The sequence below is a fragment of the Homo sapiens genome, chromosome 16, assembly GCF_000001405.40.
Source record: "Homo sapiens chromosome 16, GRCh38.p14 Primary Assembly".
In the NCBI taxonomy this organism is placed as follows: domain Eukaryota; kingdom Metazoa; phylum Chordata; class Mammalia; order Primates; family Hominidae; genus Homo; species Homo sapiens.
Window position 1 is genome coordinate 1,347,094 of NC_000016.10, and position 19,982 is coordinate 1,367,075.

Consider the following 19,982-nt stretch of genomic DNA (forward strand, 5'->3'; position numbering starts at 1 on the left):
CGTTAATGCCGAGGTGTGGCCTCTGGTGATGGCCTTTCCCCACGCTTCCTGGGAGCTTCCGATGCCCGCCAGGGTGTGAGAAAGGGCTCTGCCCTTGGCTGCTGAGCCCCCAGTGCTGCCTGGGCCCCTTTGTGCTGGGGGTCTCTACCTGTCCCCAGCACAAGCCAGGCTCCCTGACACCTCTGCCTTCTTTCCCTGCCCCAGGCCCTGGTCAGTTTTTTCCACGCAGAGGGTCAGGGTTTGCCCCTGGAGAGCCTGAGGGATGGAAGCTACAAGGTGAGGTGGGACCCTCTGTGGGGCGGGGGTGTGGATGAGGGGACTGAGTTCAAACTGCAGCCCCACACGGGCTGTGTCCTTGAGCATGAGGTGGCCCCACGGGCAGTCAGGTCTCCAAGTGCCAGCGCTGACCACCAGCACCCAGGGGCCCCTCCTGATGCGCTTCCCCCTGCAGAGGCTGAAGGAGGAGCTGCGGCTGCACAAATGTTCCACCCGCGAGTGCATCGAGCAGTTCTACCTGGACAAGCTCAAACAGGTAGGGAGGCGCCAGGGACAGGGTGCTGCCTCCGAGGCTCCCAGAGCCCAGCTGCGCTCACCCGCCTTTCCGCAGAGGACCCTGGAGCAGAACCGGTTTGGACGCCTGAGCGTCCGTTGCCATTACGAGGCGGCTGAGCAGCGGCTGGCCGTGGAGGTGCTGCACGCCGCGGACCTGCTCCCCCTGGACGCCAACGGTGAGTTGCAGCGGGGACGGGTCGGGTGGTGGTGGGATGGGGGCAGGGGGGCTCACGACTGTGCTCCTGCAGGCTTAAGTGACCCCTTTGTGATCGTGGAGCTGGGCCCACCGCATCTCTTTCCACTGGTCCGCAGCCAGAGGACCCAGGTGAAGACCCGGACGCTGCACCCTGTATACGACGAACTCTTCTACTTGTGAGTGTCCTAAGCCCCAGCCCCAGCCCCAGGCTCCAGGCTGCCGGAGCGAGACTCCCGACTGGCCTCTGTCCGCAGTTCCGTGCCTGCCGAGGCGTGCCGCCGCCGCGCGGCCTGTGTGTTGTTCACCGTCATGGACCACGACTGGCTGTCCACCAACGACTTCGCTGGGGAGGCGGCCCTCGGCCTAGGTGGCGTCACTGGTGTCGCCCGGCCCCAGGTGGGCGGGGGTGCAAGGGCTGGGCAGCCTGTCACCCTGCACCTGTGCCGGCCCAGAGCCCAGGGTGAGTGAGCATCTGGGTGGAGGCAGGGGCAGCGGGCCTGACCCCGGCCCCCACACACCTGCCCGCGCTGCTTGCAGTGAGATCTGCGCTGAGGAGGCTGGAAGGCCGCACCAGCAAGGAGGCGCAGGAGTTCGTGAAGAAACTCAAGGAGCTGGAGAAGTGCATGGAGGCGGACCCCTGAGTCCATCAGCTGCCAGCCCCGGCCCTGGCCCCCACCCCAAGTTCCCTGAAGCATCCTCCAGCTCACTGTGGCCAGCTTTGTGCAACCAGGGCCCACGGCGCCCCTCCTGTGCTGTGACGTGTGTGTCGTGGCTGGCCCCGCGGCGCCTACCGCCCTGGCCGTGTCTGTCTGGTGTGTGCTGTGAACCCCTGCACCCAACCCCACATCTGGGTGGCCAACTTGGCAGGACTTGGCCAGCAGCTGCCCAGGACACAGTGCAGGCCAGAGCGGGCTTGACCACCTGGTGGGCCTCCCTGCCCGCTTCCTTGGGCTCCCCGGCCCTGGGTGGGCGGTGGGCAGCTGGTCTCCAGGGACTCAGTGAGTGGCTGTGCTCTCTGCACAACGGGCAATGTGCAGACGCATTTTTGGTAATCACAGCTGGGGAGTGAAAAGGGTGCCACTGGCACCACTGGGTGGATGGTCCAGAGCCTCCACCCACAGAGGGGATGCAAAGGGCAGGTGAGTCAAGAACCGCATAGGTCTCCAGTCCCCACGGGGCTCCCAGGCCGGGGAAAGGTTCCCCTGAGGTCACTCTGAGGCCAGGGACGTCACCCAAGGCTGGTGGTCAGTGTGAAGGGCTCCGTGCCAACTGGTCAGCTGTCCTTCACGCACATATCCGTGGCCACCTGAGACCTGCTCCACGACCCTTCCAGGCAGAGCCGAGAGTTCGCCCCAACCCTTCCCCAGGCCCAGTGTGAAAAACAGACTCACAAGGGGCTTCTTGGCCTGCAGCTTCATTTGCGAGAGCGCCGAGGCAGGACACAGAGCACAGCTGTGCTGGAAGTGTGGGGAGAACCCGGACAGCTCAGTCCTGCCAGCAGCCGCAAAGAGCCGAGGCTGCCAGGCCCATTTATGTCCCTCATGTCTCTAGATTTTCTCGTCACCCAGCCTCAAAAATATATGTGTCTGCAACCCTCAGTCTCTCTGCCGTTTCTTGATTCCTTTCCAAACCTCAGCCGGGGCCCTGGCCTCAGCCCCCCGTCCCTGCGTCTGCTCCTCTTCACAGCAGCTGCTGCTGGCTCCTCCGCGCTCGGCGCCAGGCCCTGGGTCCTCAGACGCATCACTGTCATCAGTGTCCGAGGGCAGCCTGGGAGAGGAGGGGGAGCACGTTCCCAAATGACGTCCTCCCTGGCTAGCTGGAGTCAACGTCATCCACAAAAAGCCCCCAGCCGAGGACAGATTCCTCTTCCTCCCTGTGCTCTCCACACCCAAACCTCTCCAGTGGGACATGCACTGCAGGTTTTCTAGTCAGAAGACCATCGGGGTGTTGTTTACAACACCACCCCCAGGCAGCAGGAAGGGCTCAGGCCAGAGGTAGAAGAGAGCCCTGGGTCTGAGTGATCATGAAATTAAGCCCAAGGACCTACCGGGTGCTGGCCACAGGCCTGTTGGGGTTTCCAAACTCTCTCCCTGAATCCACATCGAAGGGATCTGAGCCGAGAGAGGAAAGTGGCCTCTAAGTGAGCTCAGAGCAGGACCAGGCCTCCCACCCCCCAGGCTTTGGAGGGCCTTGGTTCCCACCCCGCCAAGGCTCACCGATCTCCTCCTCCTGGGGGCTCTCCTTGGCATTGGCCAAGAACTCCTGCTCCGCCTGCAGCACCTCCTCCGGGCTGCCGCAGGCCGCGTACTTGTCCAGGAGCTGGCGGTTCAGGTCCAAGAAGCCCTTGCCCCATTTAAACTTCCGCAGCAAAATGACAGCAAGGTCTGGAAAGCCTGACGGTGTGAGAAACAGGAAACCCAAAGAAGTCGACGGTCCCCTCAAGTGCCTCCTGATCACCCTGCTGCCGGATGGCGGCGCTCTCCCAAGTAACCGCAGGGTCCCCAGCAAACATCAGCTCACAGTCCTGAGAACCCGTGCTGCCCCCAGCCTGCACCTCCCTTGCTACAGTCCACACCTCTGCAACCGACCAAGTCCCCCTCCTTTGCTGCGAAACAAACATTCCCACCAAGACTGCCCCACGCCTCATCAGGGCCTCTTTAGATCAGCAATTCAGTAAGGAGGACGTGGAGGATAAGGAGGATTCTCTGGGCAGTGGTGCCCTGATAATGAATGGCACCCCACACACCGGCCCTGATAGAACAGCGATCCCATTCTGCCTCTACTGCAACTCCACAGGCCGAAAACCTGAAGTGACAGTTGGGGCTGGAACCGTGGTCTGTCTGAACTGTTCCCCTGTCCGTCCCTTATGCTCCTCCTGGGGTCTGTCGGCAGGAAACATGATGCTGGGAGCATAGCAGGAACAGCAGGCCGCCGGGTCACACTGCTGTGGGGCCCCTGGACTCACCTACGATGCAGAAGGTGGCAGCAAACGCTTCCACGCAGGAAAGTCTGTAGGGCCGGCCATAGTTCACGGGGTTGGCGGCCACCAGGTAGGGCAACAGGCGCAAGTGGCTCCCTCGCATCTTCCCAAACGGTGTCTCGTCCAGCCTGGCCCAGGAGCAGTCGATGACGGCGACCCCAGACTGCGCCACCAGCTGTCTGCCAGGGACAGCATGGGATAAGTTCAGGAGCCAGCACTACCCAAGGTGGAGCATGCCCCGGAGAATGGCCTAGCTAAGGGATTCAGGGACATCATTCCGCCATCCCCAAACACCCTCAAACGGACTTCACGAGCAAGCTTTTGAGGCAGCTGCTTGGGGCACCTGGAGCATGTGTTTATTCACTCAACAAACGTTTATTACCCCAAAACCTCCTTTATCCCAGGCTCTGCGCTACGCAACGGAGGCAAACTAGACAGACGTTCCCTGCCCACGTGGGTGTGGATGTGGGTGCGACATACAAGTGCCACTAAACCATCCCTGAAGGGAACCACGCGCTGGAAATGAAGACGACCTCGGGCAGGCCTCCCGCGCCTACCTGTCTGCGGGGGACGCGTACTGCTTGCCCACGGGGCTCAGCACCAGACCGCCGAATCTGTGGCCCAGGCGCAGGCAGCGCACCAGCCCCAGGCGGGCCAGCTTGCGGCCCGTGCAGCGCCGGGGGTCGCAGTGGCCCAACTCCCACATGGCCAGCGTGCAGGGCAGCGCCGCCGGGCCCGGGCCGCCCTCGCCGTCAGCCGCCCCTGGCTCCACGGAAGCTGCACGAGAGAGAGAAGGGCACTCGGCCTCAGCGTGGGACCCCCGGGCAGGCCCTCAAACCCTGACCCGCTCTCCCCATCACGCCTCGCTCACCCTGCAGCGCGGCGCCGACCTCCTCGGCGAAGGCCTCCAGGGAGCGCGTCGGGAGGTGCCGAGGGCGGCCGCCTTCCGCCCCCGGCCCGCGCGCTGCCCTCCTGCGGCCCATGGCGCGGACCTGGGGTGCCGGGGACTCCCCACCCCACGGCCGCGCCCCTCGGCCTCCCAATGGGCTGTGCGGCTGCCAGCGCTTGCGCCGGACGCCACTTCCGGTCCCCGTGGTCACGTGACCGTCACTTCACGTGACCGCGCGGCGGCCGCTGCGGCGCGATGGCGGCGGGGCTGGCGCGGCTCCTGTTGCTCCTCGGGCTCTCGGCCGGCGGTGAGTGGCCCGGCCGTCCGCGTCCCCAGGCCCCGCGCGCGCTCTGCACCCCGGCCTCCCCGCTCACGGTCTCGCTCCCCGTAGGGCCCGCGCCGGCAGGTGCAGCGAAGATGAAGGTGGTGGAGGAGCCCAACGCGTTTGGGTGAGCAGCCTCGCGGGCTGGCGGCTCGAGCGGGGGACGGCCCGGGCCCGTTCCCCGCTGACCTTGCCGCTTCCCGTAGGGTGAACAACCCGTTCTTGCCTCAGGCCAGTCGCCTCCAGGCCAAGAGGGATCCTTCACCCGTGTCTGGTGAGTGAGGAGCGCTGTTGGCCGGCGCGGGGGTGGCCGCGGGGAGCAGCAACAGTGGAGGATGGATGAGTGACCCTGAGAGTTACGGCCCGGAGTCTAAAGCATTGGTTTGTCAGCCTTCTAAAATTAATGTGGAAGTACGAGAGAATATACCAGAACGTTCTTGTAGCGAATTAAATTATCTCCAGACTTAGTCCTTCCTTTCCTTTCCGAGAGGTAACTGCTGTTAATAGTCTGGTGACTTTGCAGACGCGTTTCTGTGCTTTTACGTGCGTGTCTATGCAACTGGAAAACGTATAGTTTTTGTAATCTAATCGCTTTTTTAAAAAATCATGCTGCGCGAGTATTTGGCTGATTTGTCGTTGTCACTCGCTGTATCTCTCGGGACGCTTCATGGTGATGATATAGGTCTTCGTTCTTTCTCTTGGTGCTCAGCACGCGATAGGATGGCACTGCACTCCCCGATTGTATTTAGGTTCTTGCCATTTTTTTGGCCATTAGAAATAGTTCTGTGGAGAACATGCTGTGTAGGTGCTTTGGTTTGCCCTCAGGTGAGCGGTTTCCCAGTGCAGGATTCCAGAAGTGGAATTGGTGGGTCATGAGTATATATATCATTTAAACGCTGAATGAGTATTAAATATAATAGACAAAAATCCAAGAATTTTTTTTTTTTTTTTTTTGAGACAAGAGTCTCGCTCTGTCGCCCAGGCTGGAGTGCAGTGGCACGATCTCGGCTCACTGCAACCTCCGCCTCCCAGGTTCAAGCGATCCTCATGCCTCAGCCTCCCGAGTAGCTGGGATCACAGGCATGCATCACCATCACGCCCAGCAAATTTTTGTATTTTTAGTAGAGATAGGGTTTATTTCACCGTATTGACCAGGCGGGTCTCGAACTCCTGACCTCAAGTGATCCGCCCATCTCGGCCTCCAAAAGTGCTGGGATTATAGGCGTGAGCCACCGCGCCCAGCTTTAGTAATTTTATTATCGAATACCTTTATGTGTTAGGGTCTGTGCTGGGGTTGCAGAAACGAACACAGATATACCAATGCTTGTCCTCATGGAGCTGACAGTCTAATGGGGAGGGATGGAGGAACAGGCACTGAGCCTGTAGAATTAGATAAAATACATAGAATGGCCAATGATGAAAAATGCCATGTAGATGTGTGAAGCAGAGGAGGGAGTGTGTGTATGTGTGTTAGAGTATTGTTTGGGGGATCGCTTTTTTTATTTTTTAGAGACGGGGTCTTGCTCTCTCACTCGGGCTGGAGTGCAGTAGTGCAATCATAGCTCACTGCATCCTTGAACTCCTGGGCTGAAGCAATCCACCAACCTCAGCTTCCTGAGTAGCTGGGACTACAGGTGCACGCCACCATGCCCGGCAAATGTTAAGTGTTCTTGTAGAGATGGAAGTCTCACTATGTTGCCCAGGCTGGCCCCAAACTCCCAGCGTCAAGCAATCCTCCTGTCTTGGTGGGGATTGCTTTAAATAGGGTGCTGAGGAAAAGTCTAAGAAGTGACATTTCAGCCAAAAGCTAAAGGAGAAAAGGGAGTAAAGCTGTGGCTATTTGGGGAAAGGGATCCAGGAAAGGGAGTGGCCAAAGGCCTTGAGCAGGACAGCCAGGGCCAGAGGGGATTCAGCTGGGGTAGCCACAGATCAGAGATAAAGGGGATCAGATGGTGCCGCACCGTGTTGGTAGGTTTGGTGGACTTTGACTCCAAACACATCTTTTTAAGTTTTTTGTTGTGTGGCTGGGCGTGATGGCGCACCTGGGGTTAGGCTCACTTCCCTGCGGCTCAGAAGCCATGGGATGGTGGCTTCCCAGGGCCTGAAGTGCTGGAGTCGGGCCACCACCTATCCCAAGAAGCTGGGGAGGAGGCAGGCCACTGTGTAACAGCGCAGTTCCCGACCGAACCCCTTCCAGTAGGAGAGAGGCAGCCTTGGCTAATGGGACCACGTCTTTTTGGAGGTGAGAGTCCTGGAAAGAAAACAGAATATGCTGGTCGTGGTGGTGCGTGCATGTTGCTCGGGAGCCTGAGGTGTGACGATCGCTTGAGGTCAGGAGTTCGAGACCAGCCTGGCCAACATGGTGAAACCCCGTCTCTACTAAAAAAAACCACAAAAACAAAAGTTAGCCGGGCATAGTGGTATCCTCCTGTAATCCCAGCTGCTTGGGAGGCCGAGGCTGGAGAATTGCTTGAATCCAGGAGGCGGAGGCTGCGGTGAGCTGAGATCATGCCCCTGCACTCCAGCCTGGGTGACAGAGCAAGACTTCGTCTCAAAAAAAAAAAAAAAAAAAAAAAACCCATAAAAATTTAGAAAAGAATACCTCTTCTAGTTTTCCCACCCCCATCCCCACATCAGGGCCAGTCAGGTTCACATGTGCATTTGGTTCATTATGTGTCTTTAGTGTTTTAATTTGGAACAGTTCTCTTCCCACCTTTGGATGTAAGTGGCACATTTGTTTCCCAGTTTCCTGATCTTTTTGTTTTGTTGATGGTGTTTTTCTCCAGACCATTTTTTCCTGCGCCTGTGGGGTCAGGCGTGGATAGTCCCCCGCGTCTGTAGGGCTGGGCGTGGATACTCCCCCGCGTCTGTAGGGCCGGGCGTGGATTGTCTCCCACGTCTGTGGGGTGGGGCCGGGCGTGGAAAGTCCCCCGCGTCTGTGGGGTGGGGCCTGGATACTCCCCCGCATCTGCGGGGTGGGGCGTGGATCGTCTCCCGCATGTGCGGGGTCGGGTGTGGATGGTCTGCCGCGTCTGCGGGGTCGGGTGTGGATGGTCTCCCGCGTCTGCGGGGTCGGGTGTGGATGGTCTCCCGCCTCTGCGGGGTCGGGTGTGGATGGTCTCCCGCGTCTGTGGGGTCGGGTGTGGATCGTCTCCCGCGTCTGTGGGGTCGGGTGTGGATCCTCTCCTGCGTCTGTGGGGTCGGGTGTGGATATTCTACTTGTTTTTTCTGTCTTTGATGTAGCGCTCCTTCAACATCAACGTGTGAGGCGGATTGTGTGCAGTGGGTAGGAGAGTGTGGTCTGTGGAATGAGCTGAGCAGAAAGATAATCAGGCTGAGAAACTCAGGGGCGTGGTGATTGTGGCCTAGGGCTCAGAAGGTCCCCGCAGAAGAGTGTCTGCCAAGGAGAAGGAAGGGGTGGGCTTGCCAGGGCCGAGGCTGGTGGGGCTGGGCTGGGCAGTGGGCAGCTCCATGGCCTCCACCAGATGAGTCGGGAGCCTCGTCCCTTGACAGCAGGAGGAGCAGAGGTTGGTAGGTCTGTGATTTGGAGACAGTGTCCCGCTGTGGCATGGAGAGGGAATGGGGCACGGTCAGTGTGGTGGTCCTGCCAGCGCCCAGCAGAGTCCAGCATAGCCCAGCACACTGTCCAGGAGGGAGCTCTGCCTCGGTGGCGGTGGGAGGGAGCGGCCAGCTGGGCAGGACTCTGGGGCCTTGGCAGGGTCCTGGATCTGGGGAGGGGGCGGGGGAGGAGTAGAGTGGCCCCGGGATCCTGGCTAGAGAAGCCATGGCAAGTGCGGCTCCCAGCATGTGAGTTGCAGGGGTCAGGCTGGGAGCTTGCTTTCGGCTGGGGCCGGGCTGGGTCTGCCAGGCAGTCCCTGGTGCTTGGAGAGGGTCACGGTGGGCACAGGACTCACCAGGGGGTGCGTGAGGCCGGAGGGTGAGGGTGAGGTCCCCGGTGAAGTTCTTGGTGGCGTGTGGGGGTTGTGGAGGTTGGGAGGGTACTGGGACCAGGTGTGGGGCCGGGCCAGGGAGCAGCGTGGGAGGGAGGACCACCCTTGAGAAGGGATTGTCACCAAGAGACGCAGCCCTAGGGGGAGTGCTGCCCACCGAAGCCTGACCGGGGCAGAGGGGAAACGGAGTCCAGGCTCAGCCAAGCTGATGGGCCTTGAGCTGTGGCCTCGGGTGCAGGGACAGCTGGCAGTAAGGCCACCTGGGCCCGCGGGAGCCAAGGGCACCGGCGAGTGTCCTGGCCATGCAGGCCGTGAACACGGAGCCTGCAGGGGACGTGCGGGTGAAGCAGGAGCAGAGGAGAAGCCTCCCGGCAGGGGTGGTGGCATTTGGGGGTGGTGGTATTTGGGGGTAGAGACTCCCGCTCAGGTATGGCTGTGTCTGGCCCAAGAGGCGTGGAGGGGCCAGCCCCCACCTGTCTCAGGAGGACAGGCTGCTGAAACCTGAGGGCCAGGCGGAGGGGAGGGGCCGTGGCCGGGGTTCTGGTGTGGGCCAGCAGCAGAGGACCTGGGGTACTGGGCACTGCCAGTTGGGGGCTTGTGGTACCATCCCCTGCGGGAGGCTGCACCTCAGCCAGTAGGAGTCCACTGAAGCTGTGGACAGCACCCAGGCAGAGGCCTCCTCCCAGCTGGGGAGCCAGGCCAGGCCCCGCTGCCCTCACACAGTCCTGTTTAGACGGATGGCCCTGCAGGTGCAGAGCTAAGCCCGGCGCCCACGCCCCTCCTGGGGTGTCTCCAAGCAGTGTCTGCCTGGGGCAAGCCTGGGAACGTGAGTTCCCAGGACACAGGAGCTTGACCAGCCACCCTCCCAGCGGGAGTGTGAGAGCGGGAATCTGCGGGCGGGGGTCTGCGGGCGGGAGTGTGCGGGCGAGAGTGTGCGGGCGGGGGTCTGCGGGCGGGAGTGTGCGGGTGGCGGTCTGCGGGCAGGAGTCTGAGTGGCAGATGGGTGAGGGACACATCAGGGTCTCTGGGATGGCTCCAAAGGCTTCCCTATGTGCCTGTTGGGCAGGGCCCTAGGGCCAGACTGGAGGGACCAAGCCCAAGCACCCCAGGCTGTGGGACAGCAGGTGTGACAGGGCTGAGGTAGAGCCCCCAGCGGTCAGGCTGGGAGGACAGTGGGTGAGCCTGGGAGTAGGGGCCACCCAGATGGTATTTGACAAGGAAGGACCAGGACCTTTCTATATCCACAGCCCCTGTCCCCTGAGCAGGGCAGCCTGGCCATCTTGGTCTCCATCTGTCTTGGGAGGGGACAGCCCCAGGGGTGAGTGGAATGTCAGGGAACAGAAGGCCAGGCCGGGCCAGCACCCCAGAGGTCTCAGTGGCATTAGCCTCTGCCCTCCGGGGGCGGGGGCCAGGCTGAGGGTGGCCCCAGTGTGGCATCTGGCTCCTGGGCTGGCCAGATTCCCAGGGAACAGTCACCCAGCACCTCGTGTGTATTTCGACTTTATTATTATTATTATTATTATTATTAGAGCCGAGTGTCGCTGTGTCGCCCAGGCTGGAGTGCTGTGTCGCCCAGGCTGGAGTGCAGTGGCGCGATCTCGGCTCAGTGCCAGCTCCGCCTCCCGGGTTCACGCCATTCTCCTGCCTCAGCCTCCTGAGTAGCTGGGACTACAGGCGCCCGCCACCATGCCCGGCTAATTTTTTGTGTTTTTAACAGAGACGGGGTTTCACCGTGTTAGCCAGGACGGTCTCGATCTCCTGACCTCGTGATCTGCCCGCCTCGGCCTCCCACAGTGCTGGGATGACAGTCATGAGCCACCGCGCCTGGCCTCGACTTTATTATTAATACGGTAAAACTACAGAGAGTTTGAAACATCAGTCTGGGGCGTCCTCCTCTAACCAGTGCACTTGCTGCTGCAGCGCAGGCCCTTCAGGGGACGGGGATGGGGGCCAGTCCCCTCCCTGCCTCCACGGCCCAAGCCCCAGCCTTCCCCACAGTCCTGGAGGATGGCCCGTGGCTGACAGTCTCGGTGGGCGCTGTGTTAAGGTGGCGTCCCCAGCCAGGTCCCGACTCCCCAGCTTAAAGAACAGGGTGGCTGCTGTGGCTTGACTCACGAGTTGCCACTGGCCTTGATGTGTACACGCCCTTGCTCTAGCACTGCCTGGGGCTGGCCTGGCTGGAGGGTAGGGACGCTGCACGCCTTCCCTCTTCCCCCAGGCGCTGGTGACACTGCCCTGCAACCGTCAGCACCATCATCTCCACAACTTGCTCTGTCCCCTTCAAACCCTGACTCCCAGCTGCCCCGCTCCCCCAGCCCCGGCACCCACCATTCTGCTGTCTCTGAACTTGGCTATTCATAGACGTCACATAGGTGACTCATAACTGTGTGCGACCTTTTGTGTCTGACCAACTCCTCTTGGCACAGTGTCCCCAAGGTCCCCCAGGCTGGAGGCTCTCAGTGCTTCCTTTTTATATGGCTGAGGACTGTTCCACTGCAAGGACAGACCACGTTGTTGTTTACCCGTCATCTGTCCATGGACACTGGAGTGGCTTCCACCCTCTGCCTGGGAATAGGCTGCTGTGAACTTGGGTGTAAATATTTGAGTCTCTGCTTCCAATTTCTGAGAGTAGCTTTGCTGGATCTTATTAGAATTCCATGTTTAGCTTTTTGAGGAACCACCAAACTGTTTGCATAGTGGCTGCACCGTTTCCCATTCCAGCCAGCATTGCACGAGGGGTCCAGTTTCTCCACATTTTCACCAACACTGTTTTTTGCTAACAGCCATCCTAGTGGGTGTGAAGCGGTACCTTAGGGTTGTTTTAATTTGCATTTCCCTAATGATCAGTCATGTGGGATCTTTTCAGTTGCTTATGGTGTTTGTCCTTTTTTTTTTTTGAGATGGAGTCTCACTCTGTGGCCCAGACTGGAGTACAGTGGCGCCATCTTGGCTCACTGCAAGCTCTGCCTCCCAGGCTCAGGCGATTCTCCTGCCTCAGCCTCTCAAGTAGCTGGGATTACAGGCGTGAGCCACCACACCTGGCTCATTTTTATTTAGTAGAGACGGGGTTTCACCATGTTGGCCAGGCTGGTCTCAAACTCCTGACCTCATGATCCGCCTGCCTCGGCCTCCCGAAGTGCTGGGATTCCCGGCTTCTCTGCCCATTTTTAACTTGAGTTTATTGTTGGGCTGTAGTTCTGTGTTCTGGATGTGAGTCTCTTACATACGTGGTTTGCCAGTGTTTATTTTCTCCCATTCTGTGGGTTGTCTTTTCACTCCCTTGATGGGTTTGTTTTTTTTTCCATATAGAGTCTAACTCTGTAGCCCAGGCTGGAGTGCAGTAGCACGATCTTGGCTCACGGCAACCTCTCCACCTCCCAGGCTCAAGGAATTCTCCTGCCTCAGCCTCCCGAGTAGCTGGGACTGCAGGCATCCGCCATCACGCCTGGCTAATTTTTTTGTACTTTATTAGAGATCAGGTTTCACCATGTTGGCCAGGATGGTCTCGATCTCCTGACTTCGTGATCCGTCTGCCTCGGCCTCCCAAAGCACTGGGATTACAGGCGTGAGACCCTGCGCCCGGCCTCTATGCCAGTCTTTATGCCAGTATCACACTGTTTTGATCATAACAGCTTTGAAGTAATTTTTGGAATCAGTATGTACGAGTCTCTCAACTCTGTCTTTAAGATTTGTTCGATGATTTGGGGTCCTCTGAGACTCCCTATGAACTTTAGGATGTGTTTTTCTATTTCTGCAAAAACTGTCATTGGGGTTTTGATGGGGTTGCATTGAATCTGCAGATCACTCTGGGTGGTATTGTCATCTTAAAAATATTGAATCCATCAGGCTGGGCGCTGGGGCTCACGCCTGTAATCCCAGTACTTTAGGAGGCTGAGGCAGGTGGATCACCTGAGGTCAGGAGTTTGAGACCATCCTGGCCAACATGGAGAAACCCCGTCTCTACAAAAATACAAAAATTAGCCAGCCGTGATGGCAGGCACCGGTAATCCTAGCTACTGGGGAGACTGAGGCGGGAAAATCGGTTGAACCCAGTGGTGGAGATTGTAGTGAGCCAAGATCGTGCCACTGCAATCCAGCCTGGCGACAATGCTAGACTCCGTCTCAAAAAAAAAAAAGTGGCGTATGGATGTCTCATGTCAGCTTTATGTAGTGGGTGGCACTGTTTGTGCGTGGATAATTGTGGTGTCTTGGCACATTGACCCTTTTATCAATGTATAACATCTTTGTCTCTTAAAATAGTTTCAGCCACTTCAGCTCTCTTTTGCCTGTTTATATGAATACTTTTCCATACCTTCACTTTCAACCTGTTTATGTCTTTAAATCTGAAGTTAGTCTTTCAGGCCGGGCATAGTGGCTCACACCTGTAATCCCAGCACTTGGGAGGCCAAGGTGGACGGATCACTTCAGGTCCACAGTTGCAGACCAGCCTGGCCAACACAGTGAAACCCCGCCTCTGCTGAAGATACAAAAATTAGCTGGGCGTGGTGGCGGGCACGTGGGATCCCAGCTACTCGGGAGGCTGAGGCAGGGGAATCACTTGAACCCAGGAGGCGGAGGTTGCAGTGAGCCGAGATCGCGCCACTGCATTTCACCTTGGGTGACAGAGTGAGACTGTCTCCAAAAGAAAAAAAAGAATCTAATGCCTGATGAGCTGAGGTGGAACAGTTTCATCCCCAAACCACCCATCCCCACCCCCGGCTGGTAGAAAAACTGCCTTCCATGAAACCAGTCCCTGGTGCCAAAAAGATTGGGGACCACTGGTTTAAGTCCTGTAGCTTTACAGACCATAGCTAGAAAGGCAACTGGTATTAATTCACCCTGCACGAGGACCTCCGTCTGCCTCCGCTGAGCTGCTGTCTGCTCACTTCCCCGGGTGGCACACCGGCCTGCATGTAACCAACTCCTGAAGCTTTTATCTGGGAATGTCCTCTTTTTTGGGGGGTGGGGAAGACAGGGTCTTGCTCTGTCACGCAGGCTGGAGTGCAGTGGTACGATCTCAGCTCACTGCACTCTCCACCTCCTGGGTTCAAGAGATTCTCCTGCCTCAGCCTCCTGAGTAGCTGGGATTACAGGTGCGCGCCACTACACTCAGCTCATTTTTTCTGTGTGCTTTTTGTGTAGACACGGGGTTCTCACAGTGTTGCCCAGGCTGGTGTCATACTCCTGGCCTCAAGCAATCTTCCCGCCTTGGCCTCCCAAAGTGCTGGGATTACAGGCATGAGCCACGATAGCAAGCCTTAACTCTAATTTTTGAAGGGCTATTTTTAGAATTCTCGGTTTTGTCAGTTTCTTCCATTGAATGGTACCTGTTTTCCTGTTTCTTTGAACGTCTTGTGCTTTTTGTTGAAAACTGGTCCTTGGCCGGGCGCGGTGGCTCAAACCTGTAATCCCAGCACTTTGGGAGGCCGAGGTGGGTGGATCACGAGGTCAGGAGATCGAGACCATCCTGGCTAACGCGGTGAAACCCCGTCTCTACTAAAAATACAAAAAATTAGCCGGGCATGGTGGCGGGCGCCTGTAGTCCCAGCTACTTGGGAGGCTGAGGCAGGAGAATGGCGTGAACATGGGAGGCGGAGCTTGAAGTGAGCCAAGATCATGCCACTGCACTCCAGCCTGGGTGACAGAGTGAGACTCCATCTCAAAAAAAAAGAAAACTGGTCCTTTGAAAACAGACTCTGCCAGTCTTTGCAGACAGGTTCTGTGCTTGGACCCTGGGGATCAGTGTGAGGTCTCTTCCAGGACCCGTGCATCTCTTCCGACTCTCGGGCAAGTGCTTCAGCCTGGTGGAGTCCACGTGAGTGCAGGGTGGGTGCGAGGGTGGGCTGGGGCGCAGCCTGCGGACCCCCCTCATGCCATCTGTGTCCCCAGGTACAAGTATGAGTTCTGCCCGTTCCACAACGTGACCCAGCACGAGCAGACCTTCCGCTGGAACGCCTACAGTGGGATCCTCGGGTGAGTGGGGCCGGGGCAGGGATCCCAAAGCAGCAGCGCAGCTCCCCACCCGGCCTCACGTGCCGTGCCCGTGTCTCCCCAGCATCTGGCACGAGTGGGAGATCGCCAACAACACCTTCACGGGCATGTGGATGAGGGACGGTGACGCCTGCCGTTCCCGGAGCCGGCAGAGCAAGGTGGGGCCTCAGACGGGAGCCCGGGAAGAGGGGCCCCAGTCTCCCCAACCCACCTACCCACGTTCCCTCCCCAGGTGGAGCTGGCGTGTGGAAAAAGCAACCGGCTGGCCCATGTGTCCGAGCCGAGCACCTGCGTCTACGCGCTGACGTTCGAGACCCCCCTCGTCTGCCACCCCCACGCCTTGCTAGGTAGGGGTGCGGGACGCAGTTGAGCCCAGTGGGGTCAGCCGCGCACGCAGCCCTGCTGGAGGCCCTGTAGTGCTGGGGGCCAGGGTTGGGACATGGGGTGCAGCTGAGCCTGGCTTCTCTTGGGTCCTCAGTGTACCCAACCCTGCCAGAGGCCCTGCAGCGGCAGTGGGACCAGGTAGAGCAGGACCTGGCCGATGAGCTGATCACCCCCCAGGTAAGCGTGCGCTCGGGGTGGCCCCTGGTGGGCCTGGCTGGGAGCTGGGTGCTGCCCCTGCATCCTCCACCTTCAGGGCCATGAGAAGTTGCTGAGGACACTTTTTGAGGATGCTGGCTACTTAAAGACCCCAGAAGAAAATGAACCCACCCAGCTGGAGGGAGGTCCTGACAGCTTGGGGTTTGAGACCCTGGAAAACTGCAGGAAGGTACCGTATTGGGGGGAGGTGGTGGCACGCAGTAGCCCTCCAGCACCTGGGCTTTCCCTTGAACTCTTTTTGTGGTTGGTAGGCTCATAAAGAACTCTCAAAGGAGATCAAAAGGCTGAAAGGTTTGCTCACCCAGCACGGCATCCCCTACACGAGGCCCACAGGTGAGTCACCTGTGGGGAGAGGGCCAGGCTCACCATCACACTCGCCACCTGTGGGTCCAGGTGAGGACTGGCCACCTGGTGTTTTGGCAGAAACTTCCAACTTGGAGCACTTGGGCCACGAGACGCCCAGAGCCAAGTCTCCAGAGCAGCTGCGGGGTGACCCAGGACTGCGTGGGAGTTTGTGACCTTGTGGTGGGAGAGCAGAGGTGGACGCGGCCGAGAGCCCTACAGAGAAGCTGGCTGGTAGGACCCGCAGGGACCAGCTGACCAGGCTTGTGCTCAGAGAAGCAGACAAAACAAAGATTCAAGGTTTTAATTAATTCCCATACTGATAAAAATAACTCCATGAATTCTGTAAACCATTGCATAAATGCTATAGTGTAAAAAAATTTAAACAAGTGTTAACTTTAAACAGTTCGCTACAAGTAAATGATTATAAATACTACCTTCTGGGTTAAGAAAATTCCATTCAAATAACATTCTCATGTAAATACTCAAACATACAGATTGAGGCTTCCAGAAATTAATCCACTTGAGGCGTCCACGCGGAACAAGGTCTGCTGACCACAGTTACACACGTCGTGACACCACTGTATCACGGCGAATGTCGAACACTAGAGTTACAGACGACAGGCAACAAGAACATGCAGAGCCGGCCGCCAGCCAGCTCCTACGCCCCGTGCCCGCCATGGCCACAGGGGGGAGCTGCTGGGCGCGCCTCCACCTCAGCCTCCACGGGGCACCTTCCAGCCACTGCTGTGCCTCAGCCACCTAGGAGCCATCCCTGAGGCCATGGCCACCAAGACAGGTGAGGGAGGCCCCAGGGCACACAGCCCCAGGATCTTGCCCCCATTTCCAACCCTGGCAGCGCTGCCAGCCATTCTTTGGTCTTCCCACTGCTCACCTGTCCTCAGAGCCAGTACTGATCTAGGGGAGCAGGTGCCACCTCCATCTCCCAGCTGTCCCCCCACCCCTGGGGCTCCCCAGCTCTACCACCCCGGAAGCTGAGCCCTGGAGACACCCTGAGGGGCGGGCGCCACCTCCTTCCCAGAAAGAGCAGAGCAGCTGGCAGACTAGAGCTCAGCTGCTCCTGACCACTGACAACCGGGAGATGTCTCGGCAGACACCACTTATCCCAGAAAAGACCAGAGGCTCCAAATGGGAACCAAGTGCATAAATACAAATAAAAACAGAGTTTACACATCGATGACAGTAGCACAAAATATACGTAATTTCTAGATACTGAGCTAATAAATCACTGTAGTTAAAAACAAAATAGATTCACTGAAACCAAGTCGATAGTTACCTTGGAGTAGTGGACTAGCTGCAGAATGTCACGGACCCACTTCCTTTAAAACAACAGAATGTTGCTATCAGTTTGTCTTACGTTAAAACAGTTCTTAAACCACCTACTATATTAAATACATTCTAATTTGGTCACTGATGATAAAGATTTTTACCTAGACGTTTTGCACTTAAAAAATGCTATTAAAAGTCTTTGGCAAAGCCACGGTCGGGGAGAAACACGTCGGTGCCGCTTCCCACTCGTGTGCCCTCACCACCCACGTGGCCCGCGGAGAGCCAGGTCGCCGTAAACCACAGATGCCTGTTCCTGCTCAACTCCTAGGGACAGTCCCAGCCCTGAGCAGAAGGGTCAGGTCATCGCGGGGATGCGTTCTCAGTCACGTTTCTGCTGCGGCCGAAACCACACTGTCGCTCCAGGGGCAGACGGGACAGGGGACCACAGCAGAGCCGGGACCTGGGGGGGGTCGCTTCCCCCGTGTGCTCCAGGCCACTGAGAGGCTGTGGCCGGGTCCTCTCCTGTGACCTCACTGGCCACATGGATGAGCTCCGATGATAACTGGCAGCGCGGGTCAGGTGACTGCCACATACACCCGGCACCCCGGACCCTGGCGCACACACGGCCCGAGCATCTCCCACACGAGCAGGACCAGGGTGGTCACGGGTGCTGGGGAGGCAACCACTCTCCCAGTTCACTGCCTGACCCCTGCCAGGACGCCCAGCGACATCTCCAAGGAGCTACAAAGCACCATTGCCTAGGACAGCTCTGAGTAATCAGAAAACAGCTTTTTTTTTTTTTTTTTGAGCCAGAGTCTCGCTCTGTCACCCGGGCTGGAGTGCGGTGGCGCGATCTCGGCTCACTGCAACCTCTGCCTCCCAGGTTCAAGCGATTCTCCTGCCTCAGCCTCCCGAGTAGCTGGGACTACAGGTGCCCGCTCTCACGCCAGGCCAATTTTTGTATTTTTACTAAGACGGGGTTGCACCATGTTGGCCAGGCTGGTCTTGAACTCCTGACCTTAGGTGATCCACCCGCCTCCCAAAGTGCTGGGATCACAGGCATGAGCCACCGCACCCAGCCAGAAGACAGCTGCTTAAAAAAGTAATTCTAAAAGCTCTGACGTCGGATCCCCTCTGCTGCGTTTTTTGTTAGTATCAAACTGTCTTTCAGAGGGTTAAGGGAGAAAACAAAACCCATGATGCTCCTTCACTTGCTCTCCGAGGCGCAGGCGCACAGAAACAGCGGCCACGGACCACAGAAATGCAGGACGGAGCTCTCCTGCTCCCACGCCACGAGGCTGGAACATCAGCCCCAGTGCCTGGTGCACACACAGGCTCAGGAAAACTAGCTCCTTCCATCAAGTTAAAAACATCTCAATCCATAATCACTCTGCTTATAAATACTATTTGCACTTAATTGGAAAATGTAAAAATCCTAGGTCTTACTACTAGATAAACACTCATTTCATAAGTACTAGTTTCAGAATATGAAATCTAATATATTTAGCATACTATGAATTGACAATAAACTGATATGAAATATTTAAGTTCACAGTACACATATAAAGCTTCATATTATCGCATATTAAAAAAAAACAGAAAGCAGCTTAGAGCAATTTATAACCTCTAACTAAATTCCTCGGTTTACAAAGTGCTTTGAAAGACCCCAGCTCCCAGTGGCCTAGTCACAGTAGTGTCAGGACCACAAACTGCTGTGATCACAGCGCCGCGTGGATCCCGGAGGCACCAGGCCCCTCAGGGACAGGCAGGCGGGTTCTGTGGGTTTGCATTTAAGGTTTTTGAGGAAAATACCTTGAAACCGTCGGTAGGACTAGATAGGTGACAACGTGTGACAGGAAAGGCTGTCAGGCCAAGCGCAGGCGGGGCTCCCAGCCTCATGATAACGTGTAACAGGAAGGGCTCCCAGCCTCGGTCCTCACGTCGGTGGCACCAGAAGCGAGTGACGACATGTCCGTGGTCAGGAGGAGCGCTGGAGCCAGGGTGCCCAGCAGGAGGTGGCTGTCCCCGCTGAGGTCACCACTGCAGGGGCTGGCCCTTGCAGTAGGGGCACTCAGGTGCGGTGGCCGCACACGGCTCACAGAGGATGTGGTGCTGACAGGGCCGCAGGACAGCACCGTGGGCCCGCTCCCGGCAGGCCACACACTGCTTGGCGCGGAGCTGGAAGATCACCTGCAGGGCCAGAACAATGACGGGCTCAGGAGGCCCCTGCCCAGGCTGGGCCAGCTGGGGAGCCGGAGGGCCTTCCGGGCAGGACTCAGCATCTCAGGCCGCCCGGCCACCAGCTACAGAGACAGGGTCAGGGAGACGCCCCAGCCAGGGCCACCTCAGGGAGAAGGCAGCTGCGGGGTCAGGGGGTATGCTCTGTCTTAAGAGCCCTGGGCAGAGGACAGCCTCCTGGGGCCACCACAGACACGGCAGTGGCCAGACAGGCCAGGCCCCTGAGGGCAGCTGGGTGCCCAGGATGTGGGCTACGCAGGACCCTCTGTCCTATAGCAGCGAGTCCAAGAGCCCACCCTTAGCAGGCGAGGTGAGGAGGGGCACGCCGAAGTGGAGGGGTCATGTGTGAGGGTCACAGCTGTGAACAGGGAGGGATGGGGCCACGGGGAGCAGTGTGGCATTCGCTGACAAGAGGGAGGGGTGAAAGGGCAAGGGCCAGCCTGACAGGAAAGGCGGCTCCCAGGGAGACAGGCAAGGAGGCCACAGGGGGCTGTGCTGGGGTGGGGCACCGTCTCCTCCTCCCTAGGCCCGGAGCAGACCCTGGGGCAGGGGAGGAAGGGGACACCGCACCAGCCAGGGCCCTCCCCAGACAGGGACAGCAGCCCTGCAGGCAGGCTGGCCCCTCACCCTGC

At 58.3% G+C, this 19,982-nt stretch overlaps 4 protein-coding genes across 42 annotated transcripts in view, besides 1 other annotated feature; 2 read left to right on the top strand and 2 right to left on the bottom strand.

Annotated features, from left to right (window-relative positions):
• The window catches only part of BAIAP3 (BAI1 associated protein 3), a 15,795-nt gene extending 13,449 nt beyond the window's left edge, over positions 1 to 2,346 (top strand). For 7 of the 9 annotated variants that reach the window (NM_001286464.2, NM_001199097.2, NM_001199098.2 and 4 more), the window contains 6 exons: positions 205 to 276; positions 452 to 532; positions 608 to 728; positions 801 to 924; positions 1,003 to 1,208; positions 1,286 to 2,346. In NM_001286464.2, coding sequence (NP_001273393.2) covers positions 205 to 276; positions 452 to 532; positions 608 to 728; positions 801 to 924; positions 1,003 to 1,208; positions 1,286 to 1,389 — 708 coding nt within the window. In that variant the 3' untranslated portion in view covers positions 1,390 to 2,346. The remainder of the gene's footprint in view (positions 1 to 204; positions 277 to 451; positions 533 to 607; positions 729 to 800; positions 925 to 1,002; positions 1,209 to 1,285) is intronic. The other 2 variants (XM_011522730.3, XM_011522729.2) reach the window with 2 other exon arrangements.
• TSR3 (TSR3 ribosome maturation factor) lies at positions 2,147 to 4,785 on the bottom strand. The gene is made up of 6 exons (NM_001001410.3): positions 4,600 to 4,785; positions 4,286 to 4,505; positions 3,714 to 3,907; positions 2,965 to 3,141; positions 2,796 to 2,859; positions 2,147 to 2,515 (listed from the first exon to the last, which is right to left on the bottom strand). The coding sequence occupies exons 1-6, from the start codon at positions 4,709 to 4,711 to the stop codon at positions 2,344 to 2,346; spliced, it is 939 nt and encodes a 312-aa protein (NP_001001410.1). The 5' UTR covers positions 4,712 to 4,785; the 3' UTR covers positions 2,147 to 2,343.
• Positions 4,363 to 5,062: a silencer, noted in NCBI's record as "silent region_6972". NCBI's record gives its function as "represses an Ori minimal core promoter by ATAC-STARR-seq in GM12878 lymphoblastoid cells {active_cell/tissue: GM12878}" and the evidence as "EXISTENCE:reporter gene assay evidence [ECO:0000049][PMID:35858748]".
• On the top strand, positions 4,838 to 17,020 carry GNPTG (N-acetylglucosamine-1-phosphate transferase subunit gamma). The gene is made up of 11 exons (NM_032520.5): positions 4,838 to 4,924; positions 5,009 to 5,066; positions 5,146 to 5,213; positions 14,650 to 14,704; positions 14,779 to 14,862; positions 14,945 to 15,038; positions 15,113 to 15,227; positions 15,359 to 15,441; positions 15,518 to 15,649; positions 15,732 to 15,813; positions 15,904 to 17,020. The coding sequence occupies exons 1-11, from the start codon at positions 4,873 to 4,875 to the stop codon at positions 15,996 to 15,998; spliced, it is 918 nt and encodes a 305-aa protein (NP_115909.1). The 5' UTR covers positions 4,838 to 4,872; the 3' UTR covers positions 15,999 to 17,020.
• Positions 16,112 to 19,982, bottom strand: part of UNKL (unk like zinc finger) — a 51,500-nt gene continuing 47,629 nt past the window's right edge. For 19 of the 31 annotated variants that reach the window (NR_163466.1, XM_047434489.1, XM_047434488.1 and 16 more), the window contains one exon: positions 16,112 to 19,302. Coding sequence is in view for 18 of the 31 variants with exons in the window: in XM_047434489.1 (XP_047290445.1) it covers positions 19,147 to 19,302 (156 nt within the window). In the remaining 13 variants the exon portion in view is untranslated. The remainder of the gene's footprint in view (positions 19,303 to 19,982) is intronic. The other 12 variants (XR_007064900.1, XR_007064899.1, XR_007064898.1 and 9 more) reach the window with 1 other exon arrangement.